The sequence below is a fragment of the Homo sapiens genome, chromosome X (genome assembly GCF_000001405.40).
Source record: "Homo sapiens chromosome X, GRCh38.p14 Primary Assembly".
NCBI lineage: Eukaryota > Metazoa > Chordata > Mammalia > Primates > Hominidae > Homo > Homo sapiens.
The window spans coordinates 32,517,886-32,534,283 of record NC_000023.11 but is presented as its reverse complement, the minus strand read 5'-3'; the positions used below and the strand labels follow the sequence as shown (position 1 = coordinate 32,534,283).

Below are 16,398 nucleotides of genomic sequence, written 5' to 3'. Positions count from 1 at the left end.
CATAAGATTTGGGAAGGGACGAATATCCAAACTATACCAGAGGCTGTCTACAAGCCAGGAAGAAGGCTGTCACCAGGAACTGATCCTGCTGGTACCTTAATTTTGGAATTGTAGCCTATAGAACTGCGAGAAATAAGTGGCTGTTGGTTAAGCCACCCAGTCTATGGTATTTTGTTATGTAAGTGCTAGCTGACTAAAAACCGGCTTTGTTAAGCAATGAGTATTACTTCTGTTTTGACTAAAGTTCATAGTGATGCTTACTAACACAGTAGATGGATTGAAACAGGTCATGATGCTGGCAGTGGGGCATTAAGTACACGTCAGATTGAAATGGCTTTCCACATTGCACTAGATCCTTTTGGAACCCGGGTTGGAAGTTATTTAAACTTGAAAGACCCACAAGCATGTTGACTTCTCTTAAACTCAAGGACCTTTCACACTGAGAGAGTTTAAAGTTTAAATTGCCTCCCACAGGGTCCAAGTCATCATCCAATGCATGGTGGGTTTCTTTGAACACTTCTGTAGTCATTATGAGTCCACATCATTTCAAGAAAGAAGAGACAGCAACATTAGTTTTCATGCTAATTTTCCTATTCACTCAACTAATATCTAATGGATTGCTATGGTATGTAAAACACTCCAGTTACTTTAACTGTAAATCTAAGCTTTCCCTCAGGAAGCTTGCACCCAGCATAAACTGTCATGAAGAAGTACTAATAAAATGTTAGAAAAGTTTTAAGGAAGAAAAGTTCACTTCCTGCTTGAGAGGCATGGAAGACTTATGGGAAAATTAGCATCTGACTGGATAATTAAAGAGTAGGGAAGCATTGGGCTCAAGATGAGGAAAGTGACAATTCATTGCAGGGGAAAGCCTGTATGCGAACAAAACTTACATGGGATTAAGTATTCTTGTTTGCCTCCAGCAGAAGTATGAAGTAAAGGAAGTTTAGAAGTAAGGAATGAGGTTGAAAAGGTAGGTTGAGTTCATAATAACTAAAGGTATTCAATAAAAGATTAAGGCATGTAGACTTAAACCTTCTGGTCATGGGGAGCCATTGCATATTTTTGAGAGAGAGAAATATGATATGGCTACTGTGAACCATATCATTTTGATCTCACTTGAGAGTTGGGAGAGAGAGGCCATCTTACCTTGGTTTCATAGACTGGGAAGGGGGAAAGAAAAGTTTTCTCTAAAGGGCCAGAGAGTAAATATTTTAGGTTTTGTGTATCATAAAATTTATTTTAAAACTACTCAACTCTGCTGCTATAGCTAGAAAGCAGCCATAAACAATGTATAAATGAATGAGCATGACTGAGTTCCAGTAAAATTTTATTTACCAAATTAGATGGCAGACCATATTTGTCCCATAGAACATACTTTGGGGATTCCGGCACTAATGGGTAAAATGAGACTATTTTGCTGTTGATTTTTGTTTATATGTTTCATTGTCTTTGTTATAGCTGTGTTTGCAGTTTTTATTCTTGTTATTCCAATTGTGGCTTTTACTTTATCAGTCATTAAGAAGACACTAAAACAAATATGACTACTCTCACACGTGAGAAAGTGAGAAATGGCATAGGGCTTAAAGCCAGTTAAAAAAGGATCATGGAAGATATTAATAACAATAGCTAATATGTATATGGCTTCTACCAAGTATTTGCTACATATTAATGTATTTCACACTTAAAATAGCATTACGAAGTAAGTTTTATTATTGTCACTCTTTGCCAATGATAACAATGTGTCATAGAAATTTCAAGTGACTTGCTCATGGTCACATAGTTTACAGGAAGCATCGCAGCTAGGATTTGAACCCAGACAGCCTAGCTTAGGGTGTTGCCTTCGGAAATTCCTCGCCTTGCTATGTTGTAATAAGTTAAAGGTGATTTCATCAAATTATTTAGCTGAAATAAAATGCTTGACTGGGACTCCTTAAGAATTTGCCAAAGTCTATGGAAGCTGCACTTATTCTAGATTATGTCTGTTCTACATTCTGAAGTATCATTGACTCTAGTGTCCCATGGCAACACTTGATTATCTTTAAATACAGAGACCTTTTTCACTGAAAAGATTTCTTTAAAATTTAGATGTCTTTTTCAGCATCAAAAATAAGTGGAATTTCCATATAATTGAACTTTTTTTTCCAAGTGCAAGACTTTTGGAGCTCACCATGGTCTTAACCACATTATATAATAAGTAGTAACTTTTTTCATCTATGCTTAATATTTTCTCTGATGTGAGAAATTGTATCATCAGATTAGAAAGTTGAGGATTTTAGGAAATTAAGGGAAATTCCAAGGTAATAATAAATTGGGAAATAAATTATTTTATATTGCCATTAGGGTACAAAGTATACAACTAAGGATCATATTTTAATGAAAAATTTCAGAATTAATATCCTGATATTAGAGACTTCAATCAAATTCTCATATAATCCAAGATAGCGTAGTCAAAACCACTAAATTACTGTACTGTGTAGCAATGAACAGTAATTCTATATTGACTTATCCTTATTTTTTTTTTAAGATGGGTTTCTCGTTTATTTGGAACAAAAGAAAAATGTAGTGTTGTAGAAATCTTTGGATTCAGACAGACCTGTTCTTGAGTCTTGACTCAGTGCTTCACTGTGTATTGAAACTAAATGAAGATCTTCAACTTTTCTATTCATGATCAATCTGCAAAAATAAAAGCTATTACAGATAACATACAAGGTTTCTTGAGCGATTAAGTTTTCTTTTTGAAAGCCTGTGACCTGATTAAGATGCTTAAAATGATATATATGTCTCTTTTCTGTTCTTTAAATTTGAATGAAAGTTTGGCATTTTAAAAAACTTTAGGTGATTTAGGAGTATAATTTTAAGCAGATTTTTAGAGTACGAGTGTCCACATATTTAACTAAACATTCAAAAATTAGTTAAAATCAATGAACTTGGGAAGGAAAACTACTTGCTACATAATCCAGAAAATTTTACTAAATTATTTGAACTAAGCATGACTCTCCAAACTGTGGACATATTTTCTCAAGGGATTCTATGTATTATGGCTTCAAGGTACTTTTGTGTGTACCTCAAAATGGCTGAAGGCATTTTAACAGTGCATCTGAGAGTGTCTTACTTACATATTATTTGTACACTATTTTATCTATATCTTTGGACATTTTATATTTCTGTGTAAGTAAAACTTCCATGAAAATTTCATTTGTCACCATATTTTCGTTATGCAGATAAGAAAACGAAAGAAGCCAAATTGAAGACAAGCTCTGAAAGGGAATGTGCGCCCTCTAGTGACCCACATTTATTTATCATAAGGACATAGGCAGCTTTTGGGTTTCATCATTTTAAATAAACTTTACATTTGATTTTAAAATATATGACTCAGGATTTTCAACTTGAGTATATTATATTGTATGATCATAGATTTATTACTCTGACAGGATTTCATCTATCATTTAAGAGAATATTTCTATTAACCTGTGTTAAGGTGATTTTCTTGCACAGAAGTGTGTTTCAAAGGGACTTTCAATTTATTGAAAATGAAAAATAGGCTTTAGGCATCTGTGGCTTAGCAGCATTTTATTTCCCATCCTCTGGGTCATGCAGTTTTTGCCCACGTGTTTTCACACTCCTTGGCTTTATAACTAATTCCTCTAATGTAGCAGTATCTGACATTTTAGAATTTGTGGGGGTTTCTTACCTTTTAATTTTTAAGGTTGTTTCTCTCAAAGATATTTAAACAAAACTTATAAATGTGACATCTGTTCAATCATGTCACACTTTAGAAATAAATATTACCAATGAATTTTGAAATGATTAAGATTTAATACCAAATTAAGGTAGGAAGATTATTTTAACATCATTTCTACCTACCAGACGTCAAAATATTTTAGGTAAGTTTTACTTTGTGCAGAGAAGCAATATTTTACAGCAGTTTTATTCTCTTCACTGCAATCAACGATTCTATGGGTGCCAAGATGAATATCAATACCAAATAACTCAGACATTTTTGGCATTAATAGCTTAAAACATTAAATCATTCAATTTGTATGCAAGGGCATGTATTTTAAAAAGCAGAATTTTTAAACATACTAAGTATATAATTCGGTATGCCATAATTGATAATAAAGAAGATGTACAATTTTAAGGACAATATTTTGTGCTTGGACTAGAATTCAGCTTTTGAGGCACATGTTAAATAGGCATATTTTAGGACAAGGTAAACGCCACAGAAATTGATTTTTTAGTATCTTTTAAAGATGCCTTTCAGTGCAATCTGAAATCATTAAATTTTACTGTACTGAAACATATTATTTTATGAGTGATGTGCTTAAAATTACACATATAAAACTAGAAATACATTTGAGACCATGCAAATATAAGGAAAAATAGATTTTTGATAGGAATGTTAATATAGCAGTTTCCACTAACTGAAGACAGAGTCCTCTGTCATCTGTCACATTGTTCCAGGTGCTGTGTAAACCACTGAAGAGTTTATAGGCTTTTTATTATAACTGGGAATTATAACATCTTTAGATTTTATTTAATTTGATTGCTAGATGAATAGACTAATGTAATTGGAATATGAAAGCCACAATATAAGCAAAGCTGATCTCAGTTTTTGTATCTTGGGTCAAAACCTCTTTAATTAGAGAGGTAAGTAAACATATTTACAAGTAATTTTTAAAAAGCATTTGTATTGTAGACCCAGAAAATCTGAGACAGGTCTCAGTTAATTTAGAAAGTTGATTTTGCCTAATCCTAGGTACTCGGGAGGCTGAGGCACGAGAATTGCTTGTCCCCAGGAGGCGGGGGTTGCAGTGAGATTGTGCCACTGCACTCCAGCCTGGGTGATAGAATGAGACTTTGTCTCAAAAAAAAAAAAAAAAAAAAAAAAAAAAAAAAAAAAAGTTGATTTTTGCCAAGGTGGAATTCGCGCGCCTGTGACACAGCCTCAGGAAGTCCTGACGACATGTGCCCAAGGTGGTTGGGGTGCAGCTTGGTTTTACACATTTTAGGGAGGCATGAGACATCAATCAAGTACATTTAAGAAATACATTGGTTTGACCTGGCGCGGTGGCTCACACCTGTAATCCCAGCACTTTGGGAGGCTGAGTCGGGCGGATCACAAGGTCAGGAGATCGAGACCATCCTGGCTGAAACAGTGAAACCCCGTCTCTATGAAAAATAGGGAAAAAAAATTAGCCAGACGTGGCGGCAGGCGCCTGTAGTCCCAGCTACTCGGGAGGCTGAGGCAGGAGAATGGTGTGAACCTGGGAGGCGGAGGTTGCAGTGAGCCAAGATTGTGTCACTGCACTCCAGCTTGGGCAACAGAGCGAGACTCCGTCTGAAAAAAATAAAATTAAAAAAAAAAAAAAAAAAAAGAAATACATTGGTTTGGTCCAGAAAGGCAGGACAACTGGGTGGGGGTGGGGGCTTCCAGGCTGTAGGTAAATTTAAACATTTTCTGGTTGACAATTGGTTGAGTTTGTCTAAAGACCTGGGATCAATAGAAAGGAATGTTTGGGTTGAGATAAGACATTGTGGATACCAAAGTTTTATCATGTAGATGAAGCTTTTAGCTAGCAGGCTTCAGAGAGAAGAGGCTGTAGAGTGCTTCTTATCAGACTTAAAGTCTGTGTTGATGTAAGTGTCAGAGAGGTATAATGAGGCATGTCTGACCCCCACTTCCCTTCTTGGCCTGAACCAGTCTTTCAGGTTAAATTTTAAGAGCCCTGGCTGAGGAGGAAGTCCCTTTGGAGGGGGAGTTAGCCTTTTATTTTTGGTTTACAGTATGTTTTTACTTCAGGACCAGTTTGATAACAGCTTTTAAATTTTTACAATTTAAAGCAAGAAGTCGCTGAAGATCGAAGAAATTAATTTACCCAAGAAAATACCAGAAAGATAAAAATTAGGGATTAAAACCTGTGGTGCCTGATTTACACACACATATATAGCTATGTTATTTTTTTTTCTTTTTTGAGACTGAGTCTCGTTCTGTTGCCCAGGCTGGAATGTAGTGGCACAATCTTGGCTCACTGCAACTTCTGCCTCCCTGGTTCAAGCAATTCTCCTGCCTCAGCCTCCCGAGTAGCTGGGATTACAGGTGCCCACCACCACAGCTGGCTAATTTTTGTATTTTTAGTAGAGACGGGGTTTCGTCATGGTGGCCAGGTTGGTCCTGAACTCCTGACCTCAAGTGAACTGCCCGCCTCGGCCTCTCAAAGTGCTGGAATTACAGGCATGAGCCGCCACGCCTGGCCCTCAGCTCAGTATATTTTTAAATGCACATTTACTTTACATTTAAAGCAACTTAAACATACACACAAACACACACGTATCACACATATTACAAAATACAAGACAATCATGTGGCCCTATCTTCCCCCCTTCCACAGAGGGAGACACACTTACACTATACAAACGTGTATGTGTTGTGTGTGTGTATACAAACTATCTTGATTTGGAGAGGGAACTATTTATCTAAATATTAGCTTGTTTTCTTTTGGTTAAATAGGATTTCCCCTTTAATAATATTCTGTAATTCCAAAAATATAATAATTGCCATGTAGTCAATGCATCTCAAAGTCCTAAAAATATTTTTAGAACTAATAGGATTTATACTGAATTTCATTTGATATTTTTATAAGATCTATTTGATGCAAATTGAATTTGTATTCTATTACTCGATTTTTTTTTAAAGCAAATGCCATGTGGAAACAAGCAGAGAGGGACAAGTTTTCCCAGAAGGAAAGTTGAAAGGGGAAGAGTAGAGAGAGGTTGATCAAGAAAACCTTCACAGATGATGTGCATCTTGAACTGAGCCTTGGAAGATGAATAGTAGGTCATCTTCAAATGGTTGGGGATTTAGGGTCAGGAAAGTGCCTGTATAGTAATATGGAATTAAAATGTCTTCTCACTTCGGAAAACTCTGAAGAAGAAAGGTGATTTTTAAAAATACAGCAAAGTTGGAAAATCTTACCTCCAAAATTATTTCTTCTTTAATACCAACAAAGAATAATTATAGTTTTGTTCCTATTAATGTTAAAACTTGCTTCCTAGCTAATTAAAATGTTCATTAAGAATTGGTTTCATAAATTATCTGGTCTAGGCCTAGAGCCCTGGGACCCTGCAATGGTTAACGTATTTCACAGGCATCAGCATTTTCCTTTCAGGTTTCTAAGGATGAGGCTTATAAGTTTTTATGAAATTCTACATGCTAAGATGTTTAAATATGTAAAATGGCCATTCATAAACCTAGTTCACTAATCAAATTAGTTAAGTCTGGGAGCTTGGAGGACTTCCACTCTCAAAGTTTACACATTTGGGAATGATGAGTTGCAACTTGTATATTGAAAGTGACTGAATTAAAATTTATGTAAATGTGTCATCTTAGTTTAATAGGTTATGTGGCAGTCACTGTAAAGAAAATTAACAGAACACAGTGCCCATCAGGAGGCTCTTCTGACATAATTAGCACAGTTATATAGCACTAATTCATGTAATGTTTTACTATTGACAATTCAAAATTGACAACTTCTTAAATGGCAAACATTTCTCTAGTTCTTTGAGATGTTTGTATGTGTTTTTGCCTTTGAATTTATTTTAAACATTTATATACACAGGTATCTCTCAGTATTTACCATATGGGATGTAATTAACCTAATTTACATCATTTTTATGGGAAATTCAACTGGATGAGGCTGAGTCTGTTTGTACAATATAATACTGAGAAAAATTGTCACTCTCTGAATATTTGGTATATATGCCCCAGGCTTTTGATATTTTGAAACTTCCAAAAAATGGAAGGTCTTTTTGAAAAATTGTCTTGGTGTAGTAATACACTTTTGCCAAGAAAAAAAAAAATCAAAGACTTACTTGCCCTGTATGATGGGACTTTACAAGTTTTAATTTCAGGGGTTTCTGATGAGTATATTTGTAAAGGAGAAAAAAATTGTCGCTTCACTGCTAACCATAAATAATAACAAATTGAGGTTTTAAGATATACTTGAAGAATAGAGGACAGAATATTCATCAATAATTATAGAAATAATCATTTTGTGAACAGAGAATGAGAAGTTATTTTTTTATTAGCTAAAGGAGATTTTAAGCTAGGTAAAGTTAGACTGCATTTAAGGGATAGAGTCTGATAACATTCGGAAGTACGTTAAGTACAGAGTTAAGTATATGAGGAAAGTAAGTTAAGCACTAAGGAATATATTAGTGGACTGATTCCAAAGGTGTAGGGACACATTATGAGCAACTTATGATACATAAGTTCATTAGCAATGGTTTTATGTGAGTTGTTAAAGTGGGGAAAAAAGAATTATTAGAAACGAGTAATTTTATGAAGAAGCAAAAATACATGTACAGAATCCAACGTTGAATATGGCATTGAAAATAAGTCTTCAGTGTTTTCCTTGAGGGTTTTAAAGAAGGTAACTGAGTTGCATCTGAATGATATATTTCGTTCGTAATTAAATACCCAGGCTCACTTAGTGCAAAGTATGATAGAAAATGCCATCTGCAAAGCACTGGGAAGAGTAGATAGCACCCAATTTAAAGCATGAAGACATTTAAATCAGAGGTGTCTGTTCATTTGCCATGCATCTCAGCAAAGATATCTGAGGAATATCTAGTAGCAGTGAAATACATGAAAACTACACGACAAACCACAAAAAGTGATGAAGCGATAGTTGCTAAATTGATAAGGAATAAAATAAACGTGCAATTGCTTCTTGGAAGCCAGGGTCTGAGTAGGATCCGGGAAGGAGACTGAGTTCATTGTGCATTGAAAATGTCACTGAACCTAAAACTAAGCGTTGGATGTAGGCCATTGGCACTCAGGGAGAGTACATGGGAGGCCTTGAAACCCTGCCTCTGCTTCCTCTTCACCCTTCCATCCTCATTGCTGGCATAAAGAGATGAGGCTATCCACTGGCAGAATATTGGAGAGAAAACAATGCTAGTAGCTGACAGTTAACTCCCAGAACTCTAAGAGATGGTGGTACATGTTAAGTATTAGAGTGTAGGCTGACTGCACATTATGTGTGGACAAAAAGAGTTTTAGCAAGGAAATCAGAGATGTTTGAAGGAAGAAGTCCAAATGGAAGCAACATAAAATAAATATTAAGATTAGGTTAGGAATAGCTCAGAGCTTGAATTGTGTAAGAATTGGGTTCAGTGTCCACCTGTTTCCCATGAAATCAAGATATCACAATAATGATAGAAATGAAAGGGAAGAACTCCAACAGGTGAGAAGAGTCCAAACTCATTAATATGTTTCTTTGTTCCATTTTAGAAAAGAAGTATAACATTAACCTCTGTGCTTATGAATAGGTTATTTTCCTTAGACAAAACGCTCTCCTCACCACTGCCCTAGTAAAATTTGAAATTGCCTTTTTAAAAATCTGTACATCAAAAAACGAGCGTAATCACTCTCCATACGATCTTTGTATAAAAGGGAAGTTCACGCACTGTATGTGACCCCTTTCCAAATTTATAAAGTCAGACAAAAAATTGAATGAGGAAAGACCTTTCTGTAGAATTTCACATCCTGTTGTTTGAATTGATTTGAATTATCAGAACTACGTGCCAACTGGTGTCCAGGCCTCCCTTAAAATCTTCACAGACAGAGAAGCAAACAGACAGTTACCATGGTGTTGACTCCACAAAGCCTTCTTTGTGTGGAGATAACCAATATACTTGGCAGAGCCTCTAGGCTAGAAGCTGATTTAATCCTAATTTACAGAGAAGGTGTTTTTTGATTATCCTCTTAAAAAGACCAGTGTGAGCTGAGCCCCAGTTCTGTGTCTAAACCATTTTTATCTTGTCAAACAAATGCTTCACTAAACCAAATTACTTGATAATGTGGACTAATGCATTCTCGTCTCTGTTCTTTATGGAGTTAATAGCATGTCTGGCACATAGTAAGCACTTAGTATATGCTTTATGAAGGGGAAAAAAAGGAGACATTTGACCGTTTTAAAAGGAAACATACAATTTTGCCTTTTTCAGGAAAATACACCTCTAAAAGTGTTACAAGATTTCTTCTGGGGCCGGGCGCGGTGGCTCACGCCTGTAATCCCAGCACTTTGGGAGGCCGAGGCGGGCGGATCTAGAGGTCAGGAGATCGAGACCATCCTGGCTAACACGGTGAAACCACATCTCTACTAAAAATACAAAAAAAATTAGCCGGGCGTGGTGGCGGGCGCCTGTGGTCCCAGCTACTCGGGAGGCTGAGGCAGGAGAATGGCGTGAACCTGGGAGGCGGAGCTTGCAGTGAGCCGAGATCGCGCCACTGCACTCCAGGCTGGGTGACAGAGCAAGACTCCGTCTCAAAAAAAAAAAAAAAAAAGATTTCTTTTGGAATGAAAATTATTTACTTTCAAACTAAAAACAAACAACTTTGTTTCTTTTTTCTGCAGTGAATTGGAGGTGGTGGTATAACAGTTACATCAACATGCATGTTATAGGAGCAGAAAGGCTGTGATCCCTTTCCTTCCTCCTTATACAGGTCATAGCAGACATTCCTATAACAAAAGATAGGTTAACAAGAGAAAAGCATGAGATATTTATCTAATAAAAGTTTTAGGTGACATGGGAGCCTTCAAAAATGAAGACCCAATGACCCAAAGGAAAACTGTTTTTATGCTTAGAGTTGATAAAGAGTAGACAGCCATGTAGGAATGTGATTGGACAAAAAGGGAATGATCTGATAGTAATAGACTAGGGACAACCAGCCAGGCCTGTCTGTGTAGAATTCCTTCCTCCTACACATGGGGTAGGACCCCACTTGAATGAGGGTCTTATGATCTACTATCAAACAAAAGTATGTCAGAGAATTTTTTATGGCTAGCTAATAGAGAGAAAGGTGGGCAAAATACAGAGTTATAATTCTGGCTTTTATGGTTGGCTTTGGAGGAGAGGGTTTTTGGTTTCTATGACCTACCTTGAAGAAGAAGAATTCTGGTTACTATGACTCACTTCAGGGAAGAATGTGGAGTTAAAGACAGGAGGGGAGGAGAAGGTCAGAGGGACCTTGGTTTTGAGGCTGCTTTTGAGGCCTTCCAGTGTTCTTTAGTTCAAAGTTTCAGCATGCCAAAGTGCCATACTTTGGGGTATCGTTTTCTGAGCCCCTACAGTGTGCAAACAAGAGCAATGTCAATTCAACGCCTAGTAGAAATCTTTCTCCAACATAGGCTTCAGCAGATTTCTTTCAGCTGTCATGCCAGCCTAGTACCTTGAGGCACGTTTGAGTTTCAGGGACCTCTAAGTAGAAGTGAGCAATCTTTCTTAGAGATAGTCTAAATCAAATGAGGGTGAGACTAGAGAGATTAAGTTTAAAGCGTGAATTTGAAAGTGACTGGTGGATATTCCTATCTCATATTTATGAGTCAGAGGGTATTTGATGTATAATTGAGTCAGACAAATAAATTTCACCAAAGTGGCCCAAATGCATTATATTAACAACCCAGTTTTCAAAATATTTATGGAAGAGTCAGTGAAGGATTTTATTCCATTGGAGGAGGAACAAGAATAAAGAATAGCTCTGAATTACTTTAGAAAATATGAAGCGAAATTTGTTTCTACAAGTACTTGAATAAAAGACAAAGTAGAATATACAGTTAAGAGGTCTATGAAGGCCAGATTATAAAGGATCATGTTGAAATTTTGTTCTTTATTCTAAGAAAAATGAGAAAGTCTTTGAGTGGTTTTACGAATGAAGGTAACATAATCAGATATGTTTTTACTACCGTATATTTCAAAGTAGCTAGAAGAGAATAATTTGAATGTATCTAGCATAGACAAATATTTAAGATTATGGATATCCCAAGTACACTGATGCGATCTTTACAAATTATACGGATATGTTAAATTATCACATGTACCCCCAATCTAAGTACATCTATTATGCGTCAATTAAAAAAGATAGAAATGATAATTTTTCCAGTAGTACATAAAAGAGAGAGTTCCATAAATACTGCCCAGAGGCCAAGTGAAAAGCTATTGCGGTATTTTTGGTCACATTTAATGGCAACACAGATTTGGGTTCTGGCTATGGAGACAGGAAGAAGCATACATATTCAGGAGACAGAGAATGTATGTGTGACAGATTAGACTTTGCAATACATTAAACATGGGAAGGAAGAGAGAGGGTTTTAGTTGGTTTGCTGTAACAAAATACCATAAACTGGGTAGCTTATAAACCACAGAAATTTATGTCTCCCATTTCTGGAGTTTGGGAAGTTTAATATCAAGTAACTAGCAGATTTAGTGTCTTTTAAGGGCAGGCTTCCTGGTTCATACTTGGTGCTCTCTCACTGTGCCCTCACACGGTGGAAAAGAACACTGATCTCTTCAGATCATTTTAAGGGGACTCATTTCATGAGGGCTCTACCCTCTTGACCTAATTACCTCCCAAATGCCCCATCTTTTAATATCATCACATTGGGAATTAGGCTTCAACATACGAACTTTTGTGGGGCACAAAATTCAGTCCATAGCGGAGATGAAGATAACAAATATGAGGGATGGTGATGCTAATTACTGATCTGGGGAATACTGATAGAGTACTAGTTTGAGGGAGAAGATCAAACTTTAAACCTTGGCATATAATGTTTAAGGAGATTTTGCAGCATGCAAGTGGAGACATCCAATAGGCAGATGGTTATATAGCTGTGGAATTCAGAACAAGTGCCTGAATTAGAGATATACATATCAGAATCATTGATAAATAGATTGCAATTCAAGGCATGATGACTGATGTGTTTTCTGGTGAGAGATAGTAGAGTAGAAGATGATTGGTAATGAACTAGGTCTTGACATCTAGTACATAATGATAGGGTGGAGGAGGATGGACCTGCAAAGAAAAAATTACCAATGGTCATAGAAATAGAAGGCAAATTAGAATAGAGTGGCATCATGAAGCCAAAGGAAGAAAAATTACAAACGGATAGTATGGTCAACAGTGTTAACTGTAGTCCTAGCTACTTGGGAGGCTGAGGCAGGGGAATTCCTTGAACCCGGGAGGCAGAGGTTGTGGTGAGACCAGATTGCACCACTGCACTCCAGCCTGGTGACAGAGTGAGACTCCGTCTCAAAATAAACAAATACTAGAAATTGGATGGACTCAGATGCTTGAGCAAAAGTAAGAGAATAAAGTTCAAAATGTAGGTAGTGGGAATGACTTTAATTAAAAGAAGGGAAACTCAAATGTAAAAGAAGGGAATGAGAACGGTGGCTACATATGCGGGTCTGATGGTGTTTGGAAATAGGAAGTGAAAGAAGTTCTACTCTGATAATTGCACTTGTTTCTGTAAGGTAGGGAACAAGATCATCTGAGAGAGCTGCAGAAAGAGGATGGGCCAGAGCTTTGATAAAAGGTTTTAATAGTTCCTGTAGAGACTTAGAGCCCAACTTGGGAAAAAAAAAAAAAAAAAAAAGTATGGCAGGATGCTAGGTTCATTTGAGGCTGTTGATTATTGCCTTAGTTTGGGTTGCCCCAAGAGTAGATCTGAAGAGAAGGATTTAGGTGCAAGCAGTTTATTTGGAAAGTGATCCCAGGAAACAAAGTAGGGAAGTGAAATAAGAAAAATAAAGCAGCCAATAAAGTATGGCACAAATATAGGGATCAGGTTACTGCTGGAAGGAACTGGGGCTCAATCATGCAGGGAACCCCTTGAGACACTGTGTATCATACTTCAGGATTGTCCAACTGAGGGGCAAGGGAGCTGGGAAATTCACCAATTCCAAGCTCTCACTGGTTAAGGGACACCCCTAAAGTATTAACATTCCAGCACTCCTTCTCTGTCCAATATACTGGCAAATAGATGCTTGCAGATAGAGAGACACAGGAAATTTTATGTTGGGCCAAAGCAAAAATAAAAATGTTTTAAGACATTATGATGATAAATATGCATAAAAGATGATTGAAATATAATTCACTGGTTTGGGTAGGTAATCAAATAACCATAGTAGGAGAGTATTTAAGGAGTTAACATCGCTGAAGAGAGTGTGAAAGATTTTTACAGCATATAATTGTACTGTATATTTTAATCAACATTATGAATGAAGAAACAGGAACCTGATAGTCAAACTTGTGGATAAAAAATGTAGGAAAGATAAAAATCATATATGACACAATAAAAATCCATAAACATTTGTAATGCATACACAGATAACTTACTGACATTCAGTGACATGGGATTTAGAGGAATCAGGATCCCTAGTCTCTTAATTTCAAGTTGGATAGCCTCGATAAATAACAACTCAATCTGTATGCTATGAACCGTCAAGTTTCTGACCCATGGTATTGAGGTCAATTAACTTAATTTCTCTGAAGCTCCATCTCATCCTATGGGCAGCTGGAATTGGTGATACCTAACCAAAGAATTTTGTGAGAATATAAAATGCGAATATGTTTTTCTAAGGGCTTTGTGTTCCATTAATTTCTGTATCTGTTTAATTTTTAAACAATAGCCTGCAACAAATGTGAGAAATTCTAACTGGTTTATATGATTCAAAGTCCCAAAACTGGAGTTCAATAGATCAGGTCATATGTTTGTGATAGTAATTAGGTTGTGATATAACTGGTTTAATGATAGTTTATGTGAAAAAATTCCTAGAAGTTTTAAGTCAATTGAATTGCAATGTGAGTTGAAAGTCTAATATTGAAGTGAAAATATTTATTGAAATCATGGGCTATATCAATGAAAGTATTATAAACCAGAAAGATAATTATTCTTCCCTGTTTATTTTACACACTGCTGATATGTTCCCTTTAAGTACCCAATTTAAGGAAACTAAGATAACAACAAGCCATAGAATATCCGTTGAAGTAATTAAGCATAGGGTAGGCTGATGATCAGGTATCTACTGATAAATTTAAAGAGCGGATTTCAAATATTTATAATTTTGTATCCTTTTGCCAATATCTTTCCAACTACTCTCCACCCCCACCAGCTCCTGGAAATGAACATTGTCTTCTGTTTCTTTTAGTTTGATTTTTTTTTTTTTTTTTTTTTAGATTCCACTTGTAAGTGAGATCATGTGGTATTTGTCTTTCTACACCTGGCTTATTTCACTTAACATAATTTCCTCCGGGTTCATACATGTTGTTGCAAATGAAAGGCTATTCATAGTCTTAAAGGCTTAATACTATTCCATTAGACACTTGGGTTGATTCCATATTTTGGCTCTTCTATACCTAAATCACCAGATTAGAATGAATAATTTATCCCTGGTGGCTCCAAAGATCTCTTCCAAAAAAAAAAAAAAAAAAAAAAAAAAAGGTTTGAAAATAACAGGATAGGTGATCTGATATTTATGGCAGCATAACAACTCACACCAAAATGTAGTGGCTTAAAACAGCACCTATTTATTATTTCTCCTAATTCTTCAACGTAGGCAGTGCCCTTTGGGTATTTCTTTTCTCTATGTGGCATCAACTGGAGCACTCATTTGTCTGTCTTCAGCTGGCATTGAGATGGGTCACAGAGGGCTTTATTTGCATGCCTGGTGCCCCATGCTTCTTCATGTGGCCTCTTCACATGGACAGATCAAGTTTCCTTAAAACATGATCACCTCAAGGTCATTGTACTTCTTATATAATTGTTGTCTTCTCAGAATGTGTGCTCTAAAAAGTCAAGCTCTGACATGCAAGCACTTCTCAAAACCTTACTTGCAGTACTCTTACTATTGTCCCATTTGTGATAGAAAGTCACGTGGCCAAACCCAGAGGCAGTATGATTGGAGACTACAGAAAAGCATGTGTTTCAATGGTGACCACCAACAGGAATTTTTTTTTTCTCATAAATACTTTCCAAAAAGAAAAGGTTATCGTGGGAAGTAGTACTTTTTCAAATAGTGGAAACATTCAAGCAGAGGCTGGGTAATAGCTTACAGGATATATTGTAGAAGTGATTTTTACATTGAGGTGAATAAAATGACCTCTGTGATCATAAGACTCTAGATCAAAGCTGACTCCAAATTTGAGTCTACCTAACAGGGAAAATAGTGCTGCTATTAATACTAATAGAGGTGTCAGGCAGGAGTCTCAGATTGAGAAAAGAATGATAAATGTGGATAAATTGCTTTTTTTAATATAGAAGAAAGAGATAATCAAGAAATAATGACTTTTATTTTTTGCTGTCTTAGGTTGGATGTTGATATAACTGAACTTCACAGCTGGATTACTCGCTCAGAAGCTGTGTTGCAGAGTCCTGAATTTGCAATCTTTCGGAAGGAAGGCAACTTCTCAGACTTAAAAGAAAAAGTCAATGTAGGTTATGCATTAATTTTTATATCTGTACTCATTTTGTGCTGCTTGTAAACTCCGTGCTTTGTTATCTGTGATTCTACTAGTTGATAGATTAATGCGATATGATAAAATGCTGTTTAATA

General features: G+C 36.3%; 1 protein-coding gene across 17 annotated transcripts in view; it reads left to right on the top strand.

Annotated features, from left to right (window-relative positions):
* The window catches only part of DMD (dystrophin), a 2,220,167-nt gene that overhangs the window by 805,105 nt on the left and 1,398,664 nt on the right, over window positions 1–16,398 (top strand). For all 17 annotated transcript variants that reach the window (XM_006724469.4, NM_000109.4, XM_011545467.2 and 14 more), the window contains 1 exon segment: window positions 16,153–16,276. In XM_006724469.4, the coding sequence (XP_006724532.1) occupies window positions 16,153–16,276 (124 nt within the window).